Source organism: Homo sapiens, chromosome 13 (genome assembly GCF_000001405.40).
Source record: "Homo sapiens chromosome 13, GRCh38.p14 Primary Assembly".
In the NCBI taxonomy this organism is placed as follows: Eukaryota; Metazoa; Chordata; class Mammalia; order Primates; family Hominidae; genus Homo; species Homo sapiens.
Window position 1 is genome coordinate 41,421,012 of NC_000013.11, and position 13,889 is coordinate 41,434,900.

Consider the following 13,889-nt stretch of genomic DNA (forward strand, 5'->3'; position numbering starts at 1 on the left):
TCACAGGGTGTACACTCACTGTGATATTAGAAGGAATATCTCCCTAGGATATAAGCTATCATATCGCAGAGTGTACACACATGGTGTACACCCACTGTGTTATTAGCAGCAATATCTCCCTATGATATTATGAAAAATATCACAGGGTGTACTCTCTGTGGGTTACTAGAAGTAATGTTTACCATGGATATTACAAATAATATCACAGGGTGTACACACATGGGGTACACCCACTGTGATACTAGGAGCTGTATCTTTCGAAGATATTACAAATAATATCCCAGTGGATGTACCCCATGTGTGTACACCCACTGTGGTATTTAAAGCAATATCTCTCCATAAGATTACAAATAATATCGAAGGGTGTACACCCCCTGTGACATTAGGAGTTTCCATACTGTTTCTAATAATTGCAAGATTTCTTGTTGATATTTTCTGTCTTTTCCCCCAGAGTTCAATAGGCCCTTTTCTTTCTATCACGCTCCATGCACTTGAAGGGTTAAAAAGACATACCGAGAATCAGTGTAAATGTTTACGGTCTCACCCTCACTGAGTTCCAAGGCCTGAATGAAAGCAATGAGTTCAGCTTTCTGGGCTGAAGTGGCCTGGGGCAACGATCTGGCTTCAACAACAGTGTCCAGGGTTACCACTGCATACCCTGCACCTCTCTCTCCTTGGGGGTTGAAGAAGCTGCTCCCATCCACGGATAGTTCCCAGTCTACCGATGCCCAAGGCTGGTCCCGGAGGTCAGGTCTGCTAGAGTCAACTGAGTCCAACACTTCTACACAATCAGGCTCGACAGGGCTCTCTGATACCGGGAGCAAGGTGGCAGGGTGTAGGGTGTTACAAACTTCAATGGTTATACAGGGATTTTCACAGAGCAAAGTTTGGTACTTGGTGAGTCTGGCATTCGTTAGCCAATGATGTCCTTTGGTATCCATTAAAGTCACCACAGCATGGGAGGCCTTTATGTTCAGGTTTTGCCCAAGAGTCAGCTTATTTGCTTCTTGTACTAGCAGGGCAGTTGCTGCCAAGGCCCTCAAACAGGGGGGGCCATCCTTTAGAAACCCCGTCTAGTTGTTTAGAAAGGTAGGCCACCGGCCTTGGCCAGGGCCCCACAGTTTGGGTTCAAAGTCCAGCTGCCATCTTTTCTCTCTCTGATGCATACAATGGAAAAGGCTTTGTCAGATCGGGTAGCCCCAGGGCTGGTGCTGCCAGAAGTTTTTCCTTTAACTCGTGAAAGACTTGCTGTTGTTGGGATCCGCATTCCAAAGGTTCGCGGTCCCCACCCCCTTTGTGGCCTCATAGAAAGGCTTGGCTAATACTGCAAAGTTTGGGATCCACAGTCTACAAAACCCCACAGCTCCTAAGAATTCCCTCACTTGCCTTCTGCTCTTAGGCTCCGCTAGATTGCAAATGACCTGCTTTCTTTCTGATCCCGGGCTGCGTTCCAACCCTGTCGGATAGTAAATCCCAAGTAACGTAGCTGCTGTCGGCAGATCTGAGCTTTCTTCTTGGACACCTTATACCCACAGTCCTCCAGGTGCCGGTGTAGGGCATCTGTTCCCTTGGCACACCTGACTGCCTTGGGGTGTCCCAGCAGAAGGTCATCAACCTACTGGAGCAACACGCAGCCTAGGTCTCTGGTGGGAAACTTCTGGAGGTCTCGAGCCAACGCCTCCCCGAAGATGGTGGGGGGAGTTCTTGAACCCTTGGGGAAGCCCGGTCCAAGTGTATTGAGTAGTGACACCTGACTCCGGATCTTCCCACTGAAAGGCAAACAGCTTCTGCCTCTCAGGGGCTAATCTGATAGGAAAGAAAGCGTCTTTCAGGTCCAAGCAGGTGAACCAGCTGTCCTCAGCTGGCAGCAACCCCAACAATGTGGACGGGTTAGGTACTGTTGGATGGAAAGTCAAGGTAGCTTGATTAAGCAAGCGCAAATCCGGTACCAGCCTGTAGTCCTTGGTCCGTGGCTTGGGAACAGGCAGGAGGGGAGTGTTCCATGGAGACTGGCAAGGAACAATAATTCCAAAAGTTCTTAGGTGCTTGAGACGGACCTGGATACCTTGAAGAGCTTCTCTGGGGACCGGGTCCTGTTTTTGCCTAACCGGCTGGGCCCCAGTCTTAACCGGCCAATCCCGGAGGCTTGTCTCCTGCCCGTACTCTTGGCCACCGCTTAGCCAGAGCTGGTCTTCTCTCTTGGCCTGGCTCAGTTCAGAAAAGTCTGCGTTCCTCCTCTCGGGGGACCATAAGGGTCATAATGACTCCCGTTCCGGGTAACTTTAGCAGCAAAGAGCCATGCTCTGTCAAAGAGATAGTGGCTCTCAGCTTGCTGAGCAAGTCCCTTCCCGAAAAGGGCAAGGGACAGTCAGGCATGTACCAAAACTGATGAATGACTTTATGTCCTCCTACAGTACAAGTCCGAGGCAAGCAGAAAGCTTGCTTTGCTGAAGCCCCCGTGGCTCCGATGACGTCAATAGTCTTTTTGGATAAGAGGGCGACCGGGGCGGTTACCAGCGAATGTTCAGCACCACTATCTACAAGAAAGTCAATGTCTCTACCCCCCGACTGTCAATCTGACCAGAGGCTCTTTGGGGATGATTGAGCCCGGTCTCCATCAGTGCAATAACCCCTCCACCAGGTTGAGCGAGTCACCTTGTTTTCTTTTGAGCTGAGAGCATTTGTTCTTCCACTGTCCTATTTCATTACAATAAGCACACTGGTTACGCTGCAAACTCTGACAGCCAAGCTGAGTTTCTTTCCCAGGGCCCCCCTTCCCTTGCCTCTTTGGGGGGGCCCCTCTGATTGCTGCAGCTAACAAACAGGTCAGCTTTTCACCGGGCCTGACCTCCATCCTCTTTACCGTTTTCCTTACGGCTTACTGCATCCCTGTTTACAAACACCTGGCTAGCTATTGCTAGTAATTGTGATGTATTCATCCCTGCAAGCCCAGCCTGTTTCTGCAGTTTTCTTCTCATGTCTTCTGCGCTTTGACGGACTAAAGCCATGTTAATCACGCGCTGATTTCAGGGCTATCGGGATCAAAGGGAGTATACATACGATAGGCCTCACACAGTCTCTCCTAGAATTGTGCTGGACTTTCCTCTTTTCCCTGAATGACCTCAGAGACCTTGTTAACATTTGTGGCCTTCTGAGCTCCCCTCATTAATCCTTCCAAGAGAGCTTCTGTGTCTCGGTTTAGCCTTTGCATATCCTCTCTTTCATGTGGGTCCAACTGGGGGTTGGTTCCTGGCAACTGGGTCCTTCCATACTCTTGGGGGTTTTGATAATCAGCTGGTGCATGTTCCTCTAGCCACTTAGTTGCTGCTTGGAGCGCTCTCCGCCTTTCTTCGCTGTTAAAGAGGAACATGAGCAACCGGTGCCAATCAGCCCAGGTGTGGTTGTGGGTCTGGATAACAGTTTGGAGCAAATCAATTAGGGCTTGTGGCTCTTCGGTATAGGGCGGTGTATTGTTTTTCCAGTTGAGAAGGTGGACGGAGGTGAAGGGCTGGTACCCAAAAACACGCCTCTCCACCACGTGACCATCCTCATCTATCCCAGTATACCGCTGCTCTCTCAGGGGCATTTGGATCCCCGTTTTGGGTCGTAAACGAGCTGCCGAGGGAGGGGTGGAGTGGCGCAATGTGACTTACCACAATTAATCATCTCAATTATTAATTGACACTAATAATTATCAATATTAATAACTGATCATATAATTTTTAAAATCAATACCGATAATAACGATAATTAATATTAAATAGTTACACTCACAACAATAAATGATTAATATTAATGATTAATGACGCCCGATATTAATAACTGATATTGATCTTATTCATTAGAAAACAGTCATATTAGCTCCTAATAATTAACATTAATATTAATAATCTGAAAACTTTATTAGCCTTAATATTTATTAGCCTTTAATATTTCTTAATATTAATGTTAATATCGGTCATTCATATTCATGTTAATAATAAATGAGGAATAATTCATACTACTATTACGCCTAATACCTCAGTGGGTGTACACCCACCTGTGATATTGCTCCTAATGTCCAGGGAGGGAGACAGCATGATATTACGTTCAATATCGCAGTAGGTGTACACCCGGCCGGTGATATTGATCCGAATATAATCTCCAGGGGGTGGAGTACGACGTTACTCCCAATATAGCACTGGGTGTGCATCCACCCGGTGATTTTGCTCCTAATATTCACGGAAGAAGAGAATGCTATTACTCGCAGTATCTCAGGAAGTGTACACCCCTTCTGTGACATTGTTCCTAATATCCGGAGGGGGAGAGGGTGATATTACTCGCAATATCGCAGGCTGTGTACACCCACCCTCTGATATTGTTCCTAGCAGCCAGGAAGGGAGAGGACGATATGACTCCCCACACAGCAGGAGGTGTACACCCATCCTGGGATATTATTCCTAATATCCACGGAGAGGAGAGGCTGATAATACTCCCAATATGGCAGGGGGTGTACATCCAGTCTGTGATATTGTTCTTAATATTCAAAGGCGGAGAGGTTGATATTACTCCCAATATCACAGAAAGTGTACAAACCCGTGTACTATTGTTGCTATTATCCCGAAGAAGAGAAGATGATATCATCCCCCCATCGCAGGACGTGTACACCCACTCTGTGATATTTTTTCCAATGTGCAGGGCAAGGGAGGATAATATTCTTCTTAATAGCACAGGGTGTGTACAGCCCCACTGTGATATGGTCCTTAATATTCCAAGGCGGAGAGGATGATCTTACTCCCAATACCGCAGAAAGTGTACACCACCCCAGTGATATGGTTCCCATAATCCTGGAGAGAAGAGGATGATGTTACTTTCAATATCGCAAGGGGTGGACACGCCCCCAGTGATATTGTTCCTAATTTCAACGTGGGAGAGGATGATACTACACGGAATGCCCCCAGGGGTAAAAACACTCCTGTGATATTGTTCTTAATATCAAGGGGAAAGAGGATGCTATTACTCCAAAGAGTGCAGAGGATGTGTGCCCGTCTGTGACATAGTTGGTAATTTCCAGAGGCAGAGAAGATATTACTGGCAATAACGTGAACACGCTGTGTGACCATCGTGGATCGTCGTATCCAGGGGGGGAGGGGGGGTGATATGACTCCCCGCAACGCCGGTGGCGCCCGCCCCCCTGCGATGTGAATCCTCATATCCAGGGGGGGAGAGGGGGGTGATATGGCTCCCCGCATCGCGGGGACCTCACCCCCTTGCGATGGGGGTCCTAAGAGCCAGGGGAGGGTAGGGGCTGGCTCTTACTCCCCGTACCGCGGTAGGGGGCCTCACCCGCCTGCGATGGGGCTCCTAAGAGCCAGGAGGGGAGAAGGGCTGGCTCTTACTCCCCGTATCGCAGGAGGTGTGTTATATCATCCTCTCCACCTTTGGATGTTAGGGACAGTATCACGGGGGAGGTCTCCGCCCCCTGCGATATTGGGAGTCATATCATCGGCTCCCACCCAGGGTATTAGGAACAAGATGACCGAAGGGATGTATACCCACTGCCCTATTTTCAATAATGTCATCCTCTACCCCCTGGCTATTAGGAGTAACATCATAGAGGGGTGTACACTTTCTGCGATATTGGGAGTAATAACCTCTCCCCCAGGGATATCGGGAAAAGTTATATTAATTATTAATATTAATAAATATAATAACAATTAATAGTAATCATCGATAATTACAGTAGAGACAGTAAAACTTAGTAGGGATGAAAAATATTAACGGTTACTATTAATAATTAATAGCAATATCACTATTAATAATAAAATAATGATATCAGTAATTAATGTTACTTCAATCAATCATAAGTGATGTTGGTAATAAAACAATAATTAATATTAAGATTAATAACTAATATTAAGAGTGACATTAATATTAATAATTAATTTTAATCATGCATAATCATGTCTTGAAAATAATCATTAACGATTAATAACGTTATACTATTAATTAATATTACTATTGATAATTATTAAGAAGACTGATGTTTAATAATTCATAGTATTATTACTGCTAATACAGCAGGGGGTGTACACCTACCTGTGATAGTGTTCCTAATATCCAGGGATGGAGAGCATGATATTAGTTTTCATATCGCAGTAGGTGTACACTCACCCTGTGACACCGATCCTAATACCAAGTGGGTAGAGTATGACATGACTGCCAACATAGCAATCAAGGTACAGCCACTCGGTGATATCGCTCCTAATATTCACGGAAGAAGCGTATGATATTACTCCCAATATCGCAGGGAGTGCACACCTCTTCTGTGATATTGCCCCTGGTATCCCGAGGGGAGAGGATGATAATAATTCCAGCATCGCAGGCTGTGTTCACCCAGCCTTTGAAATTGTTATTAATATCCTGAAAGGGAGAGGATGATATTACTCCCCATAATAGATAGATATGACTCTCCATAATAGAGCAGGAGGTGCACACCCACCCTGTGATATTCTTCCTAATATTCAGAGGCCGAGAGGTTGATATTACTGCCAATATCGCAGGAAGTGTACACCACCGTGTGAGATGGTCCTTAATAATATTCCAAGGCGGAGGGGGTGATAGGACTACATATATGGCAGAAAGTGGACACACCCCAGGGATATTGTTCCCATGATCCTGGAGGGAAGAAGATGATATTACTTTCAATATCACAGAAGGTGGACACGCCCTCACTGATATTGTTTCTAACTGCCACGTGGGAGAGGAGGTTCTGACACGCGATATCCCAGGGAGTAGAAACCCCTGTGTGATACTGTTCTTAATATCCACGGAGGAAGAGGATGATATTACCCCCAATACACACGGGTGGACACCCTCGGTACACCGAGGGTGTCCACCCGTCTGGGAAACAGTTCACAATCTCCAGAGGGGGAGATGATATTACTCATAATCTGGTAAAGAGGCTGTGAGTCCACCGCGGATCCTAAGAGCCAGGGGGGCAAGAGGGGCTGGCTCTTACTCCCCGCATCGCGGGGGGCGCCTCGCCCCCCTGCGATGGGGGTCCTAAAAGAGCCAGGGGGGCAAGAGGGGCTGGCTCTTACTCCCCGCATCGCGGGGGGCGCCTCGCCCCCCGGTGCGATGTGGATCGCTATATCCAGTGTTCGAGAGGGGGGTGATATGACTCCCCGCGTCGCGGGGGGCGCCCCTTCCCCTCCAATTTGGATCGTCATATCCAGGGTGAGAGACGGGTGTGGTATTACTCCCCGCGTCGCGGGGGGCACCCGCCCCCTTGCAATGAGGACCGTCGTATCTAGGGTGGGAGATAGTGTGCTATTACTACCCGCCTGGTGGGGTCGCCCTCCGCCCTGCGATGTGGATCGTCGTGTCCGGGGGGTGTGGGGGTGATATTACTCCCCGAATACGGGGGAGCGCCAGCCCCCCTCCCATGTGGATCGTCATATCGATGGGGTTAGTGGGGGGTGATATTACTCCCCGAATCGTGGAGGCTCCCGCCCCCATACCGTGTGGATCCTCGTTTCCAGGGGGAAGAGGGGGGTGATATTCCTGCCCGCATCGAGGGGAGCTCCCGACCCCCTGCGATGTAGATCGTAATATCCAGGGGGTGAGAGGGGGGTGATATTACTCCCCGATTTGTCCTAGGATTCTTTCTGTACTGCCATCCTCGGTTCACACCCTGGGACATTATCTTCCATCTTGTAGCAAGATGCGGCTGCTACAGTCGCTGGGGTACACACCCTTCAATATTGTTCGTAATTTTGTAGGGGAATGTTAAACCTGACGTCACAGGACTCTGTACCCTGTGAAGTTATTCCCAATATCCTAGCTTCACCTTAATAATAATGTCACATTGTGTGTACACCTTGTGGTGTTATTCTTATTCTCCTAAGTGGAGGTTGCTTTTATTGTGACACGGGGTATGTTCCTTTTCATAGTATTCATAATGTCCTAGAGGGATGTCACCCCTTATGTCACAGGGTTTGTACACCTTGTCAAATTATTCGTATTATGCTCATAAGATGTCACTCCTCATAACACAGAGGGTGTACACTTTGTGATATTGTCGTCATATTCCAGGGAAATGTTACTTTTAATGTCACAGAGGGTGCACACCTTGTGAAATTATTCGTTATAATTTTGTGGGGTGTTACCCCTAATGTCACACGGCGTGTACACACAGTGATGTTACGTGCAACATGCTATGGAAATGTTGCTCGTAATTCACAGGTCATGTACACCCTTTAATATTCTTTGTAATCTTCTAGGAAAACGTTACTGCTAATGTCACAGGGCGTGTAGACCCTGTCATAAAATTCCTAATATTGTAGCAGGAGTTTACTGCTCATTTCACAAAGCGTGTACACCCTTTGATATTATTCGTATTTTCCTGAAGAGATGTTACTACTCATGTCCCAACGCAGGTACATTCTCTGATGTTATTCGCTATATCCTGGGGGGATGTTACTTCTAATGTCACACGGGGTGTACTCCCTGTGTTCTATTTCCTAATATCCTAGGGCAATTTTACTTTTAATGACACAGGGGGTGTACACATTGTGATATTATTTGTGATATTCTAGAAAGATGTTACTCCTAATGTCACAGGGCTGTGCACCCTGTGATAGTATTCACAATTTCCCAGGGGTCTCTACTCCTATTGGCAGAGACGATAACACCCTGTGACATTATTTGTAATATTCTAGCGAGATGATACTCCTCATGTCACAGGGGGTGTACACCCCGTGTTATTATTCTTACTATTCTAGGGGGATGTTACTCCTAATGTCACAGGGATGTACACCCTGTGATATTATTCATAGTGTACCAGAGGAATATTAGCACTAATGTCACGATGCATGTACACCTTGTGATATTATTTGTCATATCCTAATGTCACAGGGGGTGTGTTCCGTGTGATATTCTTCCTAACATCCCCGACGGATATTGCTCCTAACGTCACAGGGTGTGTACACCTTGTCACATCATTCACAATATCCTGAAACTACGTTATTCCTCAGGTCACAGGGGGTGTTCACCCTGTGATATTTTTCATCATAGTTTTGTGGGATGTTACTCCTAAAGTCACACGGGGTGTACACAGAGTCACACAGTGATATGACTTGTAATATTCTATAGACATGTTACTCATAAATCACAGGGGCTGTACCTCCTGTGATATGATTCCTAATATTCTAGGGGAATGTTGCTACTATTGTCACGGGGGTGTACACCCTGTGATATGACTCGTCATATCCCAGCGGGATGTTACTACTAATGTCACAATGCCTGTACACCCTGTGATATTATTCGTAATATCCTAAAGAGATGTTAGTACTAAGGCCACAATGCATGTAGACCCTCTGATAGTATTCGTTATATCCTCGGGGGATGTTACTCCTAATGTCACACGGGGTGTACTCCCTGTCATATTATTCGTAATATCCAAGGGGGATGTTATTTTTAATGTCACCGGGGGTGACATTACGCATTAAAAATGCGTATTCAACGCCTGTGATACTATTGCTAATATCCTAGGGGCATGCTCTTCCGAATGTACACATGGGGTGTACACCGTGTAACACAGGAGGGGTACACACATGGTGTACACCACCTGTGTCATCAGGCGTAACATTCCCCTAGGATATTATGGAGGGGTACACACATGGCCGCCTGTGTTATTATTCATAATATCCTAGGGGGATGTTTCTTTTAATGTCACAAAGAGAGTACAAAACCTCACAGGAGGTGTACATGTTGTGACGTTATCTGTAATACCCTAGAAGGACGTTACTCCTAATATGTCACAGGAGTGTACACGCTTTGATGTTATTTATCATCTCATAGAGAGATATTACTTCAAATATCACAGTGGATGTACACACATAGTGTATACCCTGTGATAGCATTCATAATATCCTAGGGAGATACAACTCCTGATATCACAGTGCGTGTAGCCCGTGTGTGTACACCCTTGATATTAGTCATACTATCCAGGGTAAATATTACTCCTCATATCACACAGTATGCACACCCTGTGATATTTTTCATCCTACTTTAGGGAGATATTGCTTCTAATATCACAGTGGGTGTACCCCATGTGTGTATACTCCGTCACGGTATTTTTTATATCCCAGGGAGGTATTACTCCTAATATCACAGTGGGTGTTCGCCCTGTGTTATCACTCTTATTTGACTTTGCTGCCTTTTTTAACCCACACTACAAAGGAATGGAACAGATAAGATATTGAGATTAGACTGTGCTGCCGTGCGGCCGCCGCAGGACACCTTTAATATCCCTGTTTCTCAGGCTGTAGATGAAGGGGTTCAGCATGGGGGTGACCACCGTGTACATCACTGAGGCCACTGCACCCTTTCTGGGGGAAGATGACACATCATCTGAACTGAGGTAACCTCCAACGCCTGTTCCATAAACTCAGCAAACAACTGACAGGTGAGACCCACAGGTGGAGAAGGCTTTATACTTCCCACCTGATGATGAAACCCTCAGAATGGAGGAAACAATTTTAGAGTAAGAGAAAAGGGTCCCTGAGATGGGAAGAAAACCAAATATGGCAGCAGGGAAATACATGATTATCTTATTGGTGAAGGTGTCACAACATGCAAGATGGGGGAGTTGAGAAGGGTCACAGAAGAAATTAGGAATTTCCACATCCTTGAAGCAGGTCACTTGTAAGGCAATCAAGTTGTGCAGCTGGGAGTCTAAAAGACTGAGGACAGAAAAAAAAAAGACAACAAAACTAGGAAGCCACAGAAACACGGGTTCATGATGGCTGAATGATATAGAGGGTGACAGATGGCTACAAACCGGTCATAGGCCATCACACTCAGGAGCATGTCTCTCTTCCATGCCTCCAAAAATGGCAAAGAGAGACATCTGAGTCAGGCAGCCTGCATAGGAGATGACTCTGCTGTGAGACTGGATGTCCACAATCATCTTGGGGACCGTGGTGGAGGTGAAACCGATGTCAGGCAAGGACAGGTTGGAGAGGAAGAAGTACATGGGGATGTGGAGGTGGGAGTCAGGGCTGATGGCCAGGATGATGAGCAGGTTCCCCAGCACCGTGACCAGGCACATGGACAGGAACAGCCCAGTGAGGACCGGCTGCCGTTCTGGATCCTCTGTAGTTCTAGGAGGAGGAATACAGAGACATCTGTTAGATTCTGTGGGTCTGTAGAGATTGAACACCTTTTGCCTAGAAAAGAGGTTGAGAAATCGGAAACAAGTAAACCAACACCCAGCATCGTGTCTGCATTTTGGATAGAAGCAATTCACAAGTAATGTTTTCAGGTTTCAGAGCAATCCACACTCAGCAATATTTTGCAGTTCTGACAAACTCAATTGTCTTCTAATGCTTTCATCATTGATTTCTGTGTTATTCACTTCTTGTTGTACACACCTGTCTCAGAGAAACTAGATTCAAGAATGTTCCAAGAACCAGATCATCATATATAACAAATTCGTAATTGCTAGAAAATACAGCCTATCTTTACTGAAGGAAACTATGTAATAAAACCATTCTCTTCACTTTAAGAAAAAGGTTATCCTAATTAAAGGAAATTAAGAACTCAAATATTTTATTTTATTCCAATAGATTGATACAAATTCCCTTGATTTAGAACATCTGTAAACACTGTATAACTGCTGAGACCATGCCATCTGGAAATGAAATTAAAGTTGATAGTTCATAAGCAGAAAATAGTTCCACAGGCCAGTTGGGTCCTAGTGATTTCATCATTATGTTTTCTGACTTTTCTCCTTCTCAAGAGAGCAATTACTTACTCAAATCGGTGGGTCTTGTTTTAAAATTCATGTAAGCTATAACTCCCGTCCTTAGCTTCGGTGGACTTAGACTTTTCATCAAAACATTTGGCCGGATGCGGTGGCTCACGCCTGTGATCCCAGCACTTTGGGAGGCCGAGGAGGGCGTATCATGAGGTCAGGAGATCAAGACCATCCCGGCCAACATGGTGAAACCCCGCCTCTACTGAAAATACAAAAACTTCGCCCAGTATGGCGGCGCGCTCCTGTAGTCCCAGCTACTCGGGAGGCTGAGGCAGGAGAATGGCTTGAATCTGGGAGGCAGAGGCTACAGTGAGCCGAGATCACACCACTGCACTCCAGCCTGGGCAACAAGAGCAAAACTCCGTCTCAAAAAACAAAAAACCAAAAACACACGCTCTGTCACACTGACGTCACACTGATGACAGCCAATTTTTGTGAACCAAGGAAGTGTCAATTCAATAATTCACATAGATGTTTACTTTTGCTTTCTCCTATGTGCCAAGCAAGATATAGGCTCTGGGGAATCAGAAACAACAGAGACTCACTTGTTCCTCTCACAATACTCAGTACTTACAGAGATAAGGACAAAAGAAAATGTCCTGTCTGGAATGCAAGGAAACCAGAACTTCAGGTCAGGGATATTTCCGTTGAACCGTATGGAGTTTAAGCTTATAATATTAACAAATGTATCTAAAATTCACTTTGCCTTGACTTTACGCATCCATCACATAGAGATCCCGCAGCGGGCACCCACGATCGGTTTCATCATTGCTCACTTCCATTGGGTCAACTAGAAATCAACTCAGATGAGAGTGCTGAGTGTCAGAGGATGGACGTCTCACCCCTTGCCATACAGATAAGTAGAAAGGGTGGTATTGAAAATTAATGGCCAGACTCTAAGTCCCGGGCACTATACCTGATGGTCTCCCAACCCTCAAAATGTTGTGGGTTCTTTTTTGTTTTTGTTTTGAGATGGAGTCTCATTCTGTTGCCCAGGCTGGAGTGCACTGGAGTGATCTCGGCTCACTGCAACCTCCGCATCCCAGGTTCAAGCTATTCTCTTGCCTCAGCCTGCTGAGTAGCTGAGATTACAGGCGCCCGCCACTATGCCCGGCTCATTTTTTTTTTCTCTTTTTAGGAGAGACGGGGTTTCACCATGTTGGCCAGGCTGGTCTCGAACACCTGACCTTGTGATTTGCCTGCCTCAGCCTCCCAAAGTGCTGGGATTACAGGCGTGAGCCACCGCGCCCAGCTTCCAAAAGTTTTCAACAGAGCTCAGAGGTCTTAACCACAGGCACATCTGAGGAGCATTTTTGAAATGGTTTCCAGCTTCCTCAATAGGAATGGAAGCCAAACCCCGAACTGATGACTCCTTGGAGGAAGTCGAGAGCTGTAAGGAAAGCCAGGAACAGGGGCAAGGGAGAGATGCATCCCAAATGATCCTGTGCCAATTCTTTCTGGAATCTTTGATGTGATCTCAGATGCCATTTCCATACTTGACACAGTGATTGTGGCACCCACTGGTCTAGCTGTGGTCTACAAGGAACCCCCAAAGGGAAGGGCACAGTGAGCAGGGGCATCGGCCTGAGGGACAAGGATTGGAGAGGGCAGGTTGGATGCAGGGAGGGGACTGGCCAAATGCCATGTGTCCGGACTTAGACTGCCTGGTTCAAATTGGGCTTCACCCTTTTTGACTTCATGATCTGGTACAAGTTATATGAAAATGCGTTGCTCCTTTTCTAGTCTGTAAAATCATCATGAAATGTGCACTAATAACTGGGTGACTACGCAGATGAAATGAAGCAAGCAGCATAGACCACAGAGCTCAGAGCCTGGCCTTTAGGAAGACCTCAGTAAGGGTTCATGATGCCCTGGTGTCTGTCATCATCCTCTTTATCCTCATCATCACCTTCACCATCTTTTTGTTGTTCTCAGGGAATAGTTTAGAGGGACTCATTCCCTGCTATGATGGGTGAGGTGTCTATGAAAAGGACAACCAGTGGGAGAGGAAGGCAAAATTTTGAATAAGATTTCTGAGACCCCCCACCACAAGCAAGAACAGAATCTCCACAGTCTGCTGAGCTGA

General features: G+C 46.3%; 1 pseudogene, besides 2 other annotated features; it reads right to left on the reverse strand.

Moving 5' to 3' along the window:
• Positions 307-841: an enhancer, noted in NCBI's record as "H3K27ac hESC enhancer chr13:41995454-41995988 (GRCh37/hg19 assembly coordinates)". NCBI's record gives its function as "activates a minimal SCP1, AML or CMV promoter by ChIP-STARR-seq in naive H9 embryonic stem cells {active_cell/tissue: H9 hESC(naive)}" and the evidence as "EXISTENCE:reporter gene assay evidence [ECO:0000049][PMID:30033119]".
• Positions 842-1,374: an enhancer, noted in NCBI's record as "H3K27ac hESC enhancer chr13:41995989-41996521 (GRCh37/hg19 assembly coordinates)". NCBI's record gives its function as "activates a minimal SCP1, AML or CMV promoter by ChIP-STARR-seq in naive H9 embryonic stem cells {active_cell/tissue: H9 hESC(naive)}" and the evidence as "EXISTENCE:reporter gene assay evidence [ECO:0000049][PMID:30033119]".
• On the reverse strand, positions 10,253-11,247 carry OR7E36P (olfactory receptor family 7 subfamily E member 36 pseudogene; annotated as a pseudogene).